At 37.1% G+C, this 19,465-nt stretch overlaps 1 protein-coding gene across 16 annotated transcripts in view; it reads left to right on the forward strand.

The window, feature by feature from the left end:
• USP15 (ubiquitin specific peptidase 15) overlaps positions 1-19,465 on the forward strand; it is a 155,986-nt gene that overhangs the window by 26,585 nt on the left and 109,936 nt on the right. For 12 of the 16 annotated variants that reach the window (NR_147078.2, NR_147079.2, NR_147082.2 and 9 more), the window contains exons 2-3: positions 7,191-7,318; positions 15,802-15,932. Coding sequence is in view for 5 of the 16 variants with exons in the window: in NM_001252078.2 (NP_001239007.1) it covers positions 7,191-7,318; positions 15,802-15,932 (259 nt within the window). In the remaining 11 variants the exon portion in view is untranslated. Of the gene's footprint in view, positions 1-7,190; positions 7,494-15,801; positions 15,933-16,443; positions 16,666-17,684; positions 19,071-19,465 lie in introns of those variants that run through there. The other 4 variants (NM_001351165.2, NM_001351159.2, NM_001351161.2 and 1 more) reach the window with 3 other exon arrangements.

A 19,465-nucleotide genomic window follows, 5' to 3' on the forward strand; every position in this document is an offset into this window, starting at 1 on the left:
CAAAAAGAATGAAATTGTATCCTTTACAGCAACATGGATGCAGCTGGAGGCCATTATTCTAAGCAAATTAACACAGATACAGAAGACCAAATACTGTGTGTTCTCACTTATAAGTAGGAGCTAAACATTGGGTATACACGAACACAAAATTGAGAACAATAGACACTGGGGATTCCAAAAGAGAAGAGGGAGAGAGGGGAGTAGCGGTTGGAAAAAAACCTCTCAGGTACCGTATTTGCTACTGGGCAACAGGATCATTAGAAGCCGAAACCTCAGCATCACGCAATATACCCATGTAACAAACCTGCATATGTACCCCCTGAATCTAATATTTAAAATAAAATTTAAAATTTTTTAAAACGAATTTATGATATAAAAATAAATTTTAAAAATCTGTGTTCTTTGCCCACATTTAAATGAGTTTTTTTGGTTGCCATTGTTGTCATTGAGTAGTTTGAGTTCCTTGTAAATTCTGAATATTAGTCCTTTGTTGGAGGCATAGATTACAGATGTTTTCTCCCATTGTTAGGTTGTCTGTTCTCTCAATTATTTCCTTTGCTGTACAGAAGTTTTTCAGTTAAACTAAGTCACTTTTGTCTATTTTTGTTTTTTGTTGGATTTGTTTTTGAGATGTTAGTCATAAATTCTTTGTGTAGGCCAGTGAACAGAGAGTTTTTCCTAGGTTTTTTTTAGGACTTTTATAAAAGTTTCAAGATCTTGAATACACCTTGCGTTAATTTTTGTTGTTGTTGTTTTTCCACCTTGAGTTAAATATTTTATATAGTGAGAAGTAGGGGCCCAGTTTCATTCTTCTGCATGTGGCAATCCAGTTTTCCCTGTACCATTTATTGAATAGGGTCTCCTTTCCCAGCGAATGTTTTTGTCAGCTTCGTTGAAGATCAGTTGGCAAAGGTATGTGGCTTTATTTCTGGGCTCTCTATTCTGTTCCATTGATCTGTGTGTCTATTTTTGTACCAGTACCATGCTGCTTTGGTTACTATAACCTTGCAGTTTAATTTGAAGTTGGGTAATGTGATGCCTCCAGCTTTGTTCTTTTTGCTTAGTATTGCTTAATCTATTGAGATTCTTTTTTTTATTTCATATGAGTTTTAGAATTGTTTTTTCTAATTCAGTGAAACATGATGTTGGTATTTTGATAGAAATTACATTGAATCTGTAGATTGCTTTGGGCGGGGAAGTATGAGTTATTTTAACATTATCGATTCTTCTGATCCATCAGCATGGGATGTTGTTCCACTTATTTGTGTCATCTACAGTTTCTTTCATCAGTGTTTTGTAGTTTTCCTTATAGAGGTCTTTCACCTCCTTGATTAGATGTGTTCCCTGGCATTTTACTTTTTTTTTTTTTTTTTTTGGTAGCTTTGGTAAATGAAACTGACTTTGATTTGGTTCTCAGCTCGATTGTTACTAGTGTATAAAATTGCTTCTGGTTTTTGTAAGTTGATTTTGTATGCTGAAACTTTACTGAGTTCGTTTCTCAAAGAAGTCTTCGTGGAATCTTTAGAGTTATCTAGGTATAAGATGATATTGTCAGCAAACAGAGATAACTTGGCTTCCTCTTTTCCAACTTGGATGACTTATTTCTGTTGCCTCTTTTCTGGCTGTGACTTTTAGTACTATACTGAATCGGAGTGTGTAAGTGGGCATTTTTGTCTTGTTCCCATTTTTAGCAGGAATTCTTTCAACTTTTCTCCATTCGTATGATATTGGTTGTAGTTTCGTTGTTTGTGACTTTTATTATTTTGAGATATGTTCCTTCTGTGCCTAGTTTGTTGCAGGTTTTTATCATGAGATGTTGAATTTTACCAGATGCTGTTTTTGCGTCTATTGAGATTATTATATGGTTTTTGTTTTTAATTTTGTTTAGGTGGTGAATTGCATTTATTGATTTGCATATGTTGAACTTCCTTTGCGTGCCTGGAGTAAAACCCACTTGATCATGGTGTATTATCTTTTCGAATGCTGTTGTATTCAATTTGCTAATATTTTCTTGAGGAATTTTGCATCTATATTCATCAGGAGATATTGATCTGTAGTTTTCTTTATTTGATGAGTCCTTGTTTGGCTTTGGTATCCGGGTGACACTGGCCTTGTAGAATTAGAAAGGGAAGATTCCCTCTACTATTTTGGAACAGTTTCAGTGGGATTGGTACAAGTTCTTTGTATGTCTGGTAGTATTCAGCTCTGAATCTGTCCTCTCCTGAGCTTGTTGTTGTTGTTGTTGTTGTTGTTGTTGGGAGATTTTCATCTTACTGATTTAATCTTAGTACTCATTATTGGTCTGTTCAGGGCTTCCAGTTCTTTCTGGTTCAGTACAATCTTGGGAGGTTGTATGTTTCCAGGAGTTTACCCACTTCCTCTAGGTTTTCTAGTTTGTGCATGTAGTGATGCTCATAGTAGTCTCTGATGACCTTTTGTATTTCTGCAGTATCCGTTATAATATCTTCTTTTTTATTTCCGATTGTGTTTATTCGAATCTTCTCTCTTCTTGGTTAGTCTAGCTAGCAGTCTGTCCGTTTTGTTTCTCTTTTCAAAGAACTAACTTTTCATTTCATTGATCTTTTTGTATTGTGTTTTTGGTCTCAGTGTCACTTACTTTTCCTCTGATCTTTATGTCTTTTCTTCTGTCAAATTTGGATTTAGTTCTTGTTTTTCTGTTTCATTGGGTGTGACATTAGGTTGTTAATTTGTGTGTGTGTGTGTGTGTGTGTGTGTGTGTGTGTGTGTGTTTAGACAGCAGTATAAACTTTCCTCTTAGCACTGCTTTTGCTGTATCCCAGAGGTTTGGTATGTTGTATCTCCTTTTTCATTCATTTAAACATTTTTTAAAATTTTCATCTTAATTTTGTTGTTGACCCAAAGATCGTTCAGGAACATGTTGCTGAATTTCCATGTATTTGTATAGCTTCAAGAATTCCCCCTTGGGATTGATTTCTAGCTTTATTTCACTGTGGTTTAAGAAGATACTTGATATGATTTCAATTTAAAAAAAAATTCTTTAAGACTTGTTTTGTGGCATACCATATGGCCTATTTTGGAGAATGTTTCATGCATGATGAAAAAGAATGTATATTCTGCTATTTGGGGCTAGAATGTTCTGCAAATGTCTGCCAAATACATTTAGTTTAGAGTCCAATTTAATTCTGGTGTTTCTTTGTTGGTTTTGTGTCCTGATGATCTGTCTAGTGCTGTCAGTGGAATATGGAAGTCCCCCACTATTATTGTATTGCTGTTTATATCTTTTCTTAGGTCTAGTAATATTAGTTTTATGAATCTGGGTTTGGGTCTTCTGGTGTTGGGTACATATATATTTAGGATTGTTATGTCTTTCTATTGAATTGATCCCTTTATAATAACTTTGTGTATTTTTTTACTGTTTTTGATTTAAAGTCAGCTTTATCTGATCTAAGTATAGCTACTCCTACTTGTTTTTGGTTTCCGTTTGCATGGAGTATCTTTTTGCACCCCTTTCTTCAGTCTGTAAGTTTCTTTACCACTAAGGTGAGTTTATTGTAAGCAGCATATAGTTGGATCTTGTTTTCTAAATTCGTCCTGCCAATCTTTATCTTTTAAGTAGAGCATTTAACTCATTTATGTTTAAGGTAAATATTGATATGTGAGGTTTTATTCCTGTAGTAATGTTAATTGTTATCACATTGCTTTGTAGTTTCGTTGGTGTAATTATTTTACAAGACCTGTGGATTTTTTACTTTCTTACATTTTTATGATGGCAAGTATTGACCCTTCATTTCCATGTTTAGACTTCCCTTGATCATTTTTGTAGAGCCAGTCTAGTGATGACAGATTCCCTCAATGATTGTTTTTCTAGGAAAGACTTTATATCTCCTTTATTCCTGAAGCTTTTTCTAGCAGGATACAAATTTTCAGGTTGACAGTTTTTTTTTTCTTTAAGCCTATTTTGAAAATAGAATCCCAGTCTCTTCTGACTTGTAAGTCATCTGCCAGGAAGTCTGCTGTTAGTCTGATGGAGTTTCCTTTGTAGGTGTCCAAATGCTTTTCTCTTGCTGAGACCACACAGTCTGATGACTCTATGTCATGGTGAGGCCCTTCTTGCAATGTATTTTTCTGGGTTTCATTGAGCCTCTTACTCTGGATGTCTAGATCACTTGCTGGACAAGAGAAGTTGGTTTTCCAAACTTTTTGCTTTCTTTTCTTTTCTTTCTCGAGAATACCTACAATTCCTAGATCCAGACATTTTATTGTAGTCTCCTACTTCTCAAAGGCTTTGTTCATCTTTAACATTCTTTTTTCTTTCTTCAAAAGACCTGTCTTTATGTTCTGAGATTGTTTATTCTCCTTGATCTAGTTTATTGTTGAAGCTTTCATCTGTATTTTGTAAATCCTTCAGTGAATTTTTTATTTTCAAAAGATTTCATTTATATCCTTAATTGATATTCTGTTTCTTTGTGTTGGTTTTTCACATTTTCCATGAATCTCATTGAGCTTCCTTAAAAATCAATATTGTGAATTATTTAGCATTTCAGTAATGTTGGTTAGGATTTATTGCTAGAGAGTTAGTGTGATCCTTTGAGGGTATCGTAACACCCTGTTTTTTCAAACTTCCAGAATTATTACACTGGTTCTTTCTCATCTGGAAAAACACATTTCTCAGTTTGAATTAATTTTTGTTTGAACGAGACTGTTTTCCCTTGAGGATGTGACTGTAATGTATGTTGAATATGGTCATTTGGCTTTGCTTCTGGGTGCTTTTAGTGGCAAAGACTCTATATGAATTTCCTGGTTTTAGATAGCCTTTGGTGGCTTTCTCAAACATCAGGTGTGATAGTGGTATACTTGGCTTGTGAGCAGGCTCACAGCCTCCTGTAAGTCAGGGTAGCAGAGGTCTCAAGAAGTGTATCTTGTTCCCAAATTGTGTGCATTTATGTTACCAGATTGGGTTGTGCAGTTCATCTCCAGGCCAATAAGTAGCATTTGCAGGTATGAGTCAGCTTCAGTGGTAACAGTGGGGTTTACGCTTGACCTTTGTTTGCCAGGGAAAGCTCAGATATTCTGATGACTGGCAGAGGCACCAGCCCTGACAAGGGTGGCAGGGGAGAGGGGAGTCATTGGGCCACTGGTAAAATGCACTGAGGTCTCTTGTGGAGAGGGGTGGGATGGGGGGGTGTGGGCCAGGTGATGAGCTGTCTTAGCACCCTGGCCTCAGCAGGCAGGAATGTGATGTTTCCCTCTCACACTCCTATTCTGGTGCTCAGGTTGTTCAGTTCTCTTAGACACTGCTGTTTATCTCCAAGCTGCAATGTAGCCTAGAACTACAGGAGATGCTTGCCCCATGGCTTGACAGTACACTTCTGTGCTATCTGGAAATGGGTGCCATGCAGACTCTGCTCCCTCCCCATGGCAGGACCCCTGAAACTCTAGGCAGAGAGTGGGACAGGACCCACCTTTCTCATGAACCTGGGCCCAGAGGCCACTGCCAGTGGAACTGCAGTTGCCCCTCACAGCTTCAGATAGCCTGCCCTCTGGTTTCTTGTGCCAGCTTCCCATGGGAGCAGCAATTACTGTGTCTGCAGCAGTGGGTGGAGGGGGAGGAGAAGTTCCCTTCTCTATGTCTGGGCTCAAGCACAGAGGCCACTTGGCCAGTGGTACAGGACCTTACTCCTCACTTGCAGTGCTGAGCAGAGTTTGTGTCTCTGTGTCTCTGCCAGGAGCAGGCATTCACTTGCAGCCCCAAGCAGAGAGCTCTTGGGGGGCGCTGGAAAATGCATGCTTTGGTTTCCTTTGTCCCAGAGGCTGTCCTTTTGGTGCACTGCACTTTTCCTTCTCTTAAAAGTAGCACTCCTTGTGGGATAGATTATTGGGAACCCTGCAGCACCCCGGGTCTAACTAGCACTGTGCCACTGCTGCCTGCTGAGTGGGTGCTGGGGAATGTCAGCAAGAGCTCCCAGGATGTGGAAGCACAAGGGCTGAGGTTCCCTGGGCAAGATAAAGTCCCCTGATGGATATGCTCTGATAATGATGCCTTGCCACAGATGCTCGAGTCTAGGATGGTGGGAAGGTGAGCAACCCAGCGTGAGCTTGCAGTCTGGTGTAACACCCTCAAGAAATCCCTACCCATACCACAGTCTAGGTTTGTGAGAGCAGAGGAGCTCTCCCATAGATCGCATACTAGCACTCTGCCACAGGAATGAAGGATCCCAAACACTCTCGCTTACCCTTTCCGTGCAACACCAAGTCCCTTGGGGCTCCCAGCCACTCTTTTTTGGCCTCTCACTTCCTTCTTTTTCTATGCCTAAATTTTTTCCTGTGATTTTTGTGTACTAGTATTCTCTCTCTGATATTCTGTTAGAGCTGTGATTATGTGTTTGTAATTTTGGTTCTTTTTTGAGACCGAGTCTCTCTCTGTCGCCCAGGCTGGACTGCAGTGGTGCGATCCCGGCTCACTGCAACCTCTGCCTCCCAGGTTCAAGCAATTCTCCTGCCTCAGCCTCTTGAGTAGCTGGGGTTACAGGCACCTACCACTATGCCTCCCAATTTTTGTATTTTTAGTAGAGACGGGGTTTCACGATGTTGGCCAGGCTGGTCTTGAACTCCTGACCTCAACTGATCCACCCACCTCAGCCTTCCAAAGCGCTGGGATTACAGGCGTAAGCCACTGCGCCCGGCTGTAATTTTGGTTCTTTTTTCTGAAGAGAACTGGAACTTGATGTCTTTAGTCAGCCATCTTGAACCTCTCTCTCTGATTATGATTATTATAATTAACCTTGCAACCCTTGATAACTGGTTTCCTTTACCTCCGAAACACACAATAAAGTACATAAAATTATTTGCAAGCTTCTTGTAAAAGAACCATTTTTTCTATTTACCATATTGCATTTTTAAATTTATTTTGACAAATTCTTACGGTTATTTCCATTTTTATTCAATGAGAAGCATTTTCTTGAATACGTATATTTGTATTTTTATGTCAGTATTTGTCATTAAGTAGTATATATTTATAGAACAATAGGAATAATACTTTATACAAATGAAGTCTTGTCTTTCTAATACTAAGGGGCATTACAGTTTTCAAATATCCTTTGAAGTAGATATGTCTTTTAATATAAAAGGAAATATCAAAAAATAGATGGCTGTTCTACTGTTCCTGTATTTTCAGGTATTTTCCTTAACCAATTTCTTTTATTTTTTAGGTACCTAGTCGATAGTCGCTGGTTCAAACAGTGGAAAAAATATGTTGGCTTTGACAGTTGGGACAAATACCAGATGGGAGATCAAAATGTGTATCCTGGACCCATTGATAACTCTGGACTTCTCAAAGGTCATTATTTTCTTCCTTCAGTCAAGTTGTAAATGTGTTAAATTTCATTATATAAATGTCAGTGGGTTGAATTTGGAAAATGTTAGCGCAAATAAGTTGATAAAGTTTTGCATTACAGATTTTACCTAATGAACTCATTATTCTAATAAGTTATTAAAAATTTTATTAGTTATTATTCTGTATGACAAGTTTTGTTTTTCATTTATGATGTAATAAGGTTTTATTGTTGTTTAAACCCTTAAATGAAGAACTGATTTCTTCATTTAAAGATTTCATTATTAAGTAATCATTATTTAATGATTATTTATTACTAAATAATAAGACTCATTATTTGTTATTAAATAATTAAACACTGATTATTTTGAGAAATGCTATGTCACATATTGTTTTTCCTAGTGGACACATGACATTTTTTAAAATTTGAGGAATAATCATATATGCTTAAGTTCTTAAATTTTTGCATTAGCTTTCTACAACCCTCACTACTTGCCAGTCCTTCTATATACCTCTTATTATGGGTAAAGGGAACAAAACATAAGTACCAGAACTTCCATTTCTAACAGTGGTTCTCAAAACACTGTGTATCAGGCAACGGAAAACAGTGATCCTTGAGAGATGCGAAACAAAATAGGTAAGCCCTCCAACTGCCTTCAGTTTACTGCATTAAAAGAGATTTCCAAGACACAACATGGGAAGATGAAACCCATGCAGACCCTTGCTATCTCCCTTAGTTGAGGAAACAGAGTTTGCAGTCTAGGAAAACCAAGGCTACAAGAGTCCAGGAAAATACCAGAAAGTAGTGAGTAGCTCAGAGAGAGAGAGACCTAGACCCCCCCCCATAGGGTTGCTCTTAAGTCTTCAACTATTAAACCGCACTTTGCATATAAGAAAACTGCCCAAGGTCAGACAAGGTACCACTGAAAAGAAGGAACAATCATCGAGGCTAATATAGGATTGGGAATCGTTTGTGTTCTCAGCAGCCAGAGTGGAAAACCACATAATTTAGAGTAGACTTCTGAGAACAGTTTTACTTATGTAATAGGGTGAAATTAATTTTCCTGCTCTGCTAACCTGAAAGCATCAAACTATTTCGAAGAAACTTAACTGCATTTCAGAATAAAACTTGAGTATTTATAAGAATACAAAAATATCCAGCATACAAAAATGTAAAATTTATAATGGCTTGGATCTGACCAAATATTACCTGGCATGTGAAGAAGCAGGAAAATATGATCAATAATGACAAGCAATGTCAATCTTAAAAACAAATCTCCCCCACAAGACATGGAAAAAATTAATAAAGAACAGATGAGACAAATACAAAATTAAAAGTTGCTAGATTGAAACCCAGCTCTATGAATAATCACATTAAATGTAAACACCTCAACTAAAGGTAGTGAGGGTGAGACTAGATTAAAAAGTTAAGAACCAGCTATAACTGCCTACAAGAAACTCACTTTAAATGCAAGAACACAGATAGATTAAGATATGGAACAAGATAACACCAGGCTGTGGTAAGCAAGACTAACCCCCAGTGATCCTCACTCTTGTATAATACTCTCCCCTTTGAGTGTAGGTGAAACCTGTAAATAGGATGAAGATATCACTCTTGTGATTATGTTATGTGGCAAAAAGAGACTATCCTGGTGAACGTAATCTAATCACACATACCCTTTAAAAACAGAGAGTTTTCTCTGTCTGGTGGCAAAAGAATTCAGAGATGCATGAAAGAGGGTCAATATGTCATTGCTGGTTTGAAGTTGGAAGGAATCATGTGAGATGCAAGGCAGGCAGCCTCTAGGAACAGAGAGTGGCCTCAGGTTGACAGCCAGCAAGGAAACGGGAACCTCAAACTCACAACCATGAGTAACTGAATTCTGCCAACAACTGAATGGGCTTGGAAGCAGATTCTCCCTCAGACCTTCAGATAAGAGCCCAGCAGGGGTGATATCTTGACTTCAGCCTTGTAAAGCCCTAAGCACAAATCCATTTGGGCCCTCCTTAACTACTGACCCACAGAACTGTGAACTAATAAATCGGTGATGTTTAAGCCACTATGGTAATTCATTATGTAACAGTGGAAAACTAATAACACATGCTAACACTGTTTTTTAAAAAGCCGGAGACATTAAGTTTCAGAATAAAGAACATAATCAGGGATAGAAAAGGTCACTTGATAATGACTAATGGGATGGGATAGTTCATCAAGAGAATATAGTAATCCTAAATACATACCTACCTAATGGCATAACTTGAAAATATGTGAAGAAGAGTGATGTCAGCAGGATGATAGAATAGAAAGTCCCAGCCCCCAACACCCAACAGAAACACTGAAGTAACAATGGACCAGACTCTTTATGAGAAACCCAAGATCCAGTTAAGAATTTGTAGTACTCCAGATGAGCCCAAAACTGAGAACAACAACATTGAAATGAGTAAGAACAATTTTATTTTGCCCACATCAGCCCCTCCTCCAAGGAGTCTTAGCTTAGTCTCAAGAGAGATTGTCTCAGATCAGGACCTCTCCCTTGGGGGAAAAGAGGGAGATCACGTGCTTAATTTTCCAGCCCTTCAGTGTACTACCCAACAGGCCAGTTTTCTAAAAAAAAATTTTGATCACCTTACATAGAGTGCTGAAGGAACCAGCATAGTTCTGATGCCTGGGGGCAGTTAACAAAGGAAAGAGGGTAGGTGGTTGCTGCAGCTGGAAGGCTCTGAGAGATTGAGAGAAGGCTAAGAACCTGAGGCTTCTCTCCCAGGAAGGAAGGAGAGGAGTGGGGGCATCCTGCACTGCCCATGCCTTTCAGTGTGCTGCTTGAGGGGCCAGTTTCTGTCATGCCTTATTGTACCAGAGAGCTGACATAGTTCAAATAACTGGGGGAAGTTAACAACAAAAGAAAAGGGATAGGTGGCTTGCTGCAGCTGCCACAACCCTGTAATATTGGGAGAAGGCATAGAACCTGAGACTTGTCTTCCAAGGAAGAGGAAAAGGAGTGGAGTGTACCCCCAGTGTTCCAGTCTTTCAGGGTACTGCTTGAAGGACTGACTTCTGTCTTACCTTACCCAGTGTTTGGTGGGGGCAGATAGGAACAAAGGAAGAGGGGCAAGTGGCTTGCTGCACTCAGCACAGCTCTACAAGATTTGAGAAGGCAGAGAACTCAAGGAAGAGGGAGACAAGTGGGATGTTCCTCTAATGTTCTGGTCTGCAGTATGATGTAAGATACCAGAAGGAGGAAGAGATTATGGGTTTCTGAAAAAAAAGGAAATCAACAAATCCTTCTAATTAGGAATCTGCATGCACAAGTACAGAAAAGACATATCCACAAAAAAAGTTTGAGATGTTCTCAGAATCTCTAGCCAGGCTTTTGGGTGGAAGTGAAGCTATTTGCCTTTCAAAGCCAGTTGATAAAGACTGGGAGAGAGGTGGCTGTTTCTTCAGTTGCACAAACACCTGTGCAAAGCTACAAGAACTCAATCAGGGAAACGTGACACAAAAAAACAAAATCTCCAGAAACTGACCCTAAAGAAATAGAGATGAATTGCCTGACAGAGAATTCAAAATAATTGTCTTATAAAGCTCACTGAGTTACACGAAAACATAGACAACTTAACAAAACAAGAAAAATAAAAATTCACAAAATTAAAATATCAACAAGGAGCTAAAAATTATGAAGAACCAAACAAATTTTGGAATACGATAACTGAAAAATTCACTAGAGGTCTTCAACAGCAGACTTGGACAAGTAGATGAATTGGCAAACTTGTAGACGGATCATTTGAAATTATCTAATCAGAGGATTAAAAATAATAAAAAAGCATAAAGGAAGTCCAAGTGACTTCTGGGACACCATCAAATGAACCAATTTGTGTGTATGGAAGTTCCAGAAGGAGGAAAGTGAGAGGGGCAGAAAGCATATTTAAAGACATACTGGCTGAGGCCAGGTGTAGTGGCTCACACCTGTAATCCCAGCACTGTGGGAGGCCAAAGTGGACGGATCACATGAACACAGGAGTTCGAGATCAGCTTGGGCAACATGGTGAAACCTTGTCTCTAGAATAAATACAAAAAAAATAATCCAGCCAGTCGCGATGGCTCACACCTGTAATCCCAGCACTTTGGGAGGCCGAGGCAGGAGGATCACAAGGTCAAGAGATCGAGACCATTCTGGCCAACATGGTGAAACCCCGTCTCTATTAAAAATACAAAAAATTAGCTGGGTGTGGTGGCGCGCACTTGTAGTCCCATCTACTCAGGAGGCTGAGGCAGGAGAATCGCTTGAACCTGGAAGGCAGCGGTTCAGCAAGCTGAGATCATGCTACTGCACTCTAGCCTGGCGACAGAGCAAGACTCCATCTCAAAAAAATAAAATAACATAATATGTGGGTGGTGGCATACACCTGTAGTCCCAGTACTTGGGAGGCTGAGGTGAGATGATTGCTTCAGCCCAGGAGACAGAGGTTGTATGGAGCCGAGATTGTACCACTGCACTCCAGCATGGGTGACAGAGTAAGACCCTGTCTTGCAAAAAAAAAAAAAAAAAAAAAAAGAATGAGTGAAATAATGGCTGAAACTTCCTGAAACTGGGAAGGGAAATTGGACATCTACATTCACGAAGCCCAAAGAGTTGAACAACACTGTTAATCAACTTGACCTAATTGAATTTTGTAAAACATTCCTTGTACCCATTAAGAATCACACCCTATCCCTTCTTTGCTGCCACCCCCCACTCTAGACAACTACTAATCTCCTTTGTCTGTATGTATTTGCTTATTCTGGACATCTCATATAAATGGAATCATACAATATGTGTGTTTTTTTGTTTATTTTATTTTTTGAGATGGAGTCTCACTCTGTTGCCCAGGCTAGAATCTCAGCTCACTGCAACCTCCGCATCCCAGGTTCGAGCGATTATCCTACCTCAGCCTGCCAAGTAGCTGGGATTACAGATGCGTGCCACCACACCTGGCTGATCTTTGCATTTTTGTTGAGATGGGGTTTCACCACGTTGGCCAGGCTGGTCTCTGAACTCCTGACCTCAGGTGATCCATCCGCCTCAGTCCCCCAAAGTACTGGGATTACAGGTGTTAGCCACTGTGCCTGGCCCAATATGAATTCTTTTATGTTTGTCTTCTTTTATTTAGGACAGCACAATGTTTTCATGTTTTATCCATGTTGTTGCATGAATCAGTACTTGATTTCTTTTTATAGATGAATGATTTCTACTGAATGGTGCACATTTACTTTATGCACTCATCAGTTGATGGACATTTGAGTTGTTTTCACGTTTTGGCTCTTCTGGATATTGTTGCTATGAACATTCATGTAAAAGTTTTTGGGTAGATAATGTGTTTTCCTTTCTAATGGGTAGATACCTAGACATGAAATTGTTGGGTCTTTTTAAACTTCGTTGTTTAACTATTTTAGGAACTCTTAGACTGTTTTTCCAAAGTCATTGCATCCTTTTACATCATTGCTGGCAGTGTATGAGGATTCATTGCTTCACATTATTACCAACACTTGTTCTTGTCTGTCCTTTTTATTATAGCCGTCCAAGTGGGTGTGAAGTGGTATCTCATTGTGATTTTTGACGTGCATTTCCCTAGTGATTGATGATAAGTTCTTTTTTTGTGTGCTTGTTATATATCTTTTTTAGTGAAATACATTCAGATCCTGTGCCTATTTTTAATAGAATTGTTTGTCTTTTTATTGTTGTATTTTCAGTTTGTTATTTATTTAGGATGCTAGACCCTTATCAGATGTATGATTTGCAAAAATTTTTTCTTATTCTGTGGGCTTTTTATATTCTTGATGGTGACCTTTGAAGCACAAAAGTTTTTTAATTTTAAGTCCAATTTGCCTTTTTTTTCTTTGTTGCTTGTGCTTTTGGTGTCAGAGAGCATTGCTGAAACCAAGGTTGCAAAGATTTATGTAAGATTTATACTTACATTTTCTTTTACGAGTTTTATAGTTTTGGCTGTTACATTTACAGCATTGGTCTACTTTAAGTTAGTTTTGTATATGGTGTGCAGTAGTGTTCTAACTTCATCCTTTTGCATGTGGATATTAAGTTGTCCAGTAAGCTTTTTAATAGAAAAGGATAAGCTGATCCAAAAATTCATGTGGAAATTCAAATGACAGAATGGCTGAAACAACTTTGAATTTTAAAATAAAATCATAGAAGTTAACACTATTTGATTTCAATCCTTATTTTAAAGCTGTAATAATAAATATAGTTGATATTGATATAAAGACAAATACATCAGTTGACCAGATTAGAGAATCCAGAAATAGATCTACACATATATAGTCATTCAGCTTTAGAAAAAGGTAAAAGAGGAATTCACTGGCAAAAGGATAGTCTTTTAAACAAATGCGCCTTGAGTATTTGGATATCTGTTTGCAAAAAACTGAATTTTGATGCATACATGGCACTGTATACAGTATTAATCCAAAATGGATTATAGACCTGAATGTAAAAACTAAAACTTTTAGGAAAAAGTCTTTGCGATGTTGTATTAGCCAAAGTTTTCTTGGATATGATTCAAAAGCAAGGTTGCTAAAAGAAAAAATGTAGTTGTGTCTCATCAGTAACAAAAGCTTCTTTAAATGACACTGTTAAGAGAAAGAAAAGAGAAGCCACAGTGTGGGAGAAGATATTTACAATCATGTAGCAGATAAAAGACTTGTTTGTAGAATATACAGTTTATAAAACTCATTTTGAAGAAAACGTAAAGCCCAATGGAAAAAGTAGGCAAAAGATTTGAACACATAATTCACCAAAGAAGATATAGGTTTCAAAAAGCACGTGCAAAAATGCTCAACATAATTCATATTAGAGAAATGAAGATTAAAACCACAATGAGAAAACTGATCCATACCAAGTGTTGGCAAGATTGTAGAGGAAGTAGAACTCTCATACACTGTTTCTATCGATGTCATATCATAAAAGCACTTCAGAAAATAGTCTGGCAGTTTCTTAACAAGTTAGACATACGTTTATTGTAGAGCCCAGTCATTCCACTCCTAGGTATTTACCCAGAATAAATGAAAGCATTTTATCCATATGACCGATTGTACACAAATGGTCATACAGTGTTATTTGTAATAGAAAAAGTTGTGAACAACTCAAATGCCCATCAACACCTGAATGGAGAAACAAAATGTAGCATATCCATACAATGAAATCCCACTCAGCAATTAAAAGAAATTAAGTATTGATATGTAAAAACATGGATAGATCTCAAAATAATTACATGGCATGAACAAAGCCAAACAAAAAAGAGGACATACTATTTTTATGTAAGACTCTAGAAATTGCAAATTCGTCTATAGTAACAGAAAGCAAGTACTGTTTTCATGTACAAGTCTAGAAAATGCAAAGTAGACTATAGTTGCAAAACACAGAATAAGTAACATTCTCTTAATCCCTCAGGTTTTTTCTCGCTTCTTGATTTTTATTGTTTATATCTTATTGGGAATACTGTGTTCTCATTATTGAAATGCTACCAAGAACAATTTTGCTTTCCGTATCTGTTAATTAAGACTAACTTAGGACAAGAAAAATCTCCATTAAGTTGGATATAACTCAGTGAGATATTTCTGTTCCTCTTTCTGCATTTTAAAAATTCACATGGACAGATAACAAGTCTCAGATTAGGACTGTGATGTAGGTATGGTTCCAGAAATTTCTTCTAGATCTGTGGCCTGTCTTATACTAAATTTTTTTAGTCTAGCTAGAAATTTGAAAGTGGACTGTGAATTAGAATCACATCTGAAGAATTACCTCCATTTTAGTTCTTGGGAGAAATCCAGATTGTGGGCCTTCTGGAATAATGAAATGGTTCACAAGATGCCCATTTGTGATTTCTGTCATGGTTCCTAGCCCGTGTGTCTTGGTGTCATTGTAAAAGGTTGTTGATTTGCTTCTGAATTTCCTACAAAAGCTGATGCTAGAATGAATATTGTTACCATATGAGGGATCTCTGCTACTCAAAATATGTGGGAAACACTCTTTTGTCAAGTCTCTTGACTAACAGTTACTCCATAGTATTTTTTAAAGAACCTAATAAAAGAATTATGTTTTTAAATATTGCTTTTTGATTTATGGTACAAACTGAAAGTTTTAAAGCAATAGTTTATTTTGAAATATGTATGGCAGGCTTGTCCAACCTGCAGCCCATGGGCTGCATGCGGCCCAGGATGGCTTTGAATACAGCCAAACACAAATTTGTAAACTTTCTTAAAACATTATGAGTTTTTTTTTATGATTTTTTTAAGCTCATCAACTATTGTTAGTGTTACAATTCTTCCAATACGGCCCAGAGAAACCCAAAAATTGGACACCCCTGATGTAAGGGAGCTGAATTGCTTTAGAGCTTAAAACTTGTTTTAAATACTTAAATTAGCCTTCATGAGTTTAATTTGTAATGTGTCCAAACAAAGTATTTAGAGTTAGGTATTGAGTTTATTTTTTCTTTTGCAGATGGTGATGCCCAGTCACTTAAGGAACACCTTATTGATGAATTGGATTACATACTGTTGCCAACTGAAGGTTGGAATAAACTTGTCAGCTGGTACACATTGATGGAAGGTCAAGAGCCAATAGCACGAAAGGTACATTTTAATAATAACTGACTATAAATATTATTTTTCTTGATTAGTTCACATTTTATTATTAATTCAATGAATTGTGAAGTTTCATCACTTATCTTAGAGAAAAAGCCAGCAAAATAACCGTACACTGTGTTACAATAATGGCAAGTAACATGTTAAGAAGGTTTACTTATGCTAGCCACTATTGTAAGTATGTATTATTGATTAATCCTCTATATATAGAGAGAAAACTCTGTAAGGTAAGTAGTAGGAAATGAGGATAAAAAGTTAGGATCTAGTTATTTTAGAAAGTCATATCAGGATACAGACTTTGGCAACCTGACCCTGTTTTCTGTGCTGCACTGTTTTTGATAAAACAATTAGAAAACAATGAAGAAACTAAAAGTTGAAGCAATGTTTTTTGGAACATAAAAATTTTTTAAACTTGAAAATGTAGATTTTTTTTCATATCCTTTAACATTTTAAAATTGTAGTCTAGAAACATTAAGAATAACCAATTTCGTTTTTTTAGGGAACTAAAAAGCAATAAGTAAGGGTGTTGCTGTAGTAGAATACCAAATATTCAAGGTAAATGAGTGAACCTTACACATGTATTTGATCATTTATTGTAGGAGGGGTGGGAGGCTGAGAAGGGACCAAAATCTCTTGGCATAATTTTGTATCTGGTTTGGGTCCCCCGACCCTCCCCCCATCCCCCGCCACATAGAAACAATTAAAAAGTTGGATTAGGTAACATAAGGGTAAAAAAACCTCTAGTAGACCTAACTATATTTGAATTTATTTGGAATTGATGCTACAAAGTTGCCATGTTAACAATTTGTATTTGTGTATCCATGGTTTTAGGTATATTAGAAGCTAACCTTGGATCTTATTTTCTGAATAGATCTTGAATGTACCTTTTATTTATTTTTGTTTAGTTTTATTCCTTAGTTTCACTCAGCCACTTCAAAATTAGAATTTCTCTGTTGTAGGAATGCTAGCCTTATAGATCTGTGAAATGATCTAGTTGCTTTATCTATAGTTGCTGGAGAATTGAGTGTTTTGATCAAAGGTAGCCTATTTAGCTGTAAAACTGTCTAGAATTATTTCATTCCTAGGATAAAGGAAAATTTGTGTCCAAAATATCTCTAAAGGTATTACACTGTATTCCTTTAATCTTAATGATACACTTTTTTTTCTTATAAATGTAGCACATTATACACTAGCGGTCTTCAGTATGATAAACAGATCAACTACCAATTTCATTGCCATTACTCTTTGAAATAGTCCTCATTGAGAGTTCTTGAAACCTGTGTCTAATAACAAAGTAAAATATAATCAAAAATTTCACACAAGTAGAAGAAAAAACATTGACAAATCTCTTGGGAGACCACATACTTATTTTTAACAAGATGAATGAAATATATTCAACCTGTAAAATAGTTTGCAAATGTTCATGTGCTATATTACATTGCGTGGAGTTCTTATTACAGATGCAATTTCCTACAACATTAAATCTGCAGTAAAATTTAATTAATCACACTTAAATTTGGGAATTTCATTTGCATTTTCACTGTGGCCCACATGACTGATGCAGGTGGAACTCAAAGAAGTAAATAGACCAGCTTATAGTGTCTGAAGCCCAACTTTCAATGTTACCCATCTCTGATTGCATTAAAGAATCTAGGATTGGTGGTTCCCCTAGCTATAATGCAGAAACCAAGTTAAACATCTTCCTGTACCTCAAAGATCTCTAAAATGCGTCATTTATAGTGTCAACACTCAAAGAATGGACGAAAAGAAAGCAAGGATATAAGCAGAAAATACGATGGAATCAAAATCCAAGAGAAACAGCAGACAATAGAAACAGACCCATAAGAAACCCAGGTAATTGAGTTAGTAGATTTTAGAATAGTGGGCTTATTATGCTTAAAAAAAAAAAAAAAGGCAGATGAGAAGTAGGGCAAAACTATTAAAGAAGAAGCAAATAGAATTCTAAAACTAATAATATGGAAATTTTATGGATTTAATGTTTGGGAATAAAATTATTAGACCAAACAGAACTGAAGAGAAAATTTGTAAACTAAATGATTTGTCAATAGAAAATATAGAGTCTAAAGCTTAGAGAGACAAAAGAATAGAAAATACAGAAAAAAGCTAAGGCATAAATGGAATGCAGTAAGTAAGTTTAACATGCATACATATAGTTGGAATCTTGGAGAGGAAAGAAAGAGTGGGTAGAACTAATACCAAAGGACGTAATAGCTGAGAATTTTCCCAAACTGAGAAAGGTGTCATGCTTTAAAGAAATGCTATGAATCCCAAACTGAAATAATACAAACAAAACTGTACCTAGTACAAATGTTGAAAAGCAAAGGCAAAAAAATTTCTAATAATAGCCAGAGAAAAAGACATGTTATCTTCAAAATAAGGATAAGACAAAATAATGATTTCTCAAGAGAAACCATGGAAGCCAGAAAACAATGGACTTTGATATGTTAAAAGAAAATAACTGCCAATGTAGGATTCTGTGACTAAGAAAATAATCCTTCAGGGATGAAGGTGAAAAAAGCCATTTTCAAATGAAAACTAATAGAATTTGTTACCTGCAGACGTGTATTAAAGGCACTACAAAATAATCTTAAGAATGGAAGGAAAATTATTCCAGATGAAAGCTTGGAGATGCAGGAAAACAGTGTAGACTGACAAAATGTAAATGTTGTGAGTAAGTCTTAAGATGGACTGTTGAAAACATTAATAATAATTTTTATGGAGTTGAAAATGTGTATAGAATTAACTACACAATAGTGTTAGCATGTAAGTTAAGATAATATTCTCTACTATGTTCCCTGGTGATCCCCAGCTCCTCATATCCATATTCTTGGGCACTCTTCTTCCATGTTGTACTGAGGTTGGTCTGTGTGGCCAATAGCATATAGCAGTACTCATGGTACATCGCTTTCGAGATTAGGTTATAAAAAAACACCGCGGCTTACATCTTGGGTGCACACGCACTCTAGCTGTCTCTCTTTCTCATTTCTCACTCGGGGAATTCAACTGCATATGGCGAGGACACTCAGGCAGCCTATGGAGAGGCCCACATGGTGAGGAACTGAGATCTCTGGCCAATAGAGAGGAACGGAGGCCTGCAACAACCATGTGAGTGACCTTGGAAGTGGATCCTTTAGTTCTAGTTTAGCTTTCAGATGATTGAAACCCCAGCCATACCTTGAGAGCAACCTCATGAGAAACTCTACACCAAATCAACCCAGTTAAGCTGCTCCCAGATTCTTGACCCTCAGAAACATTGTGAGATAATGTTTGCTGTGTTAAGCTGGTAAATTTTGGGGTAATTTATTATGCAGCAATAGATAACTAATACTAATCATGGTACCTGTAAATAGGTGCTGATATGAAAACTTGAAATGTGGCGTGGCTTTGGAGCTGACAGTGAATAGAGGTTGTCAGAACTTTAAGAGTATCAATGAAAGCTTAAAGGGCCTTAAACAAACCGTTAGTAGATTACTAGACTTTGAGATAGCTGCCAGTGAGAA

This window comes from Homo sapiens, chromosome 12 (assembly GCF_000001405.40).
Source record: "Homo sapiens chromosome 12, GRCh38.p14 Primary Assembly".
Classification (NCBI taxonomy): domain Eukaryota; kingdom Metazoa; phylum Chordata; class Mammalia; order Primates; family Hominidae; genus Homo; species Homo sapiens.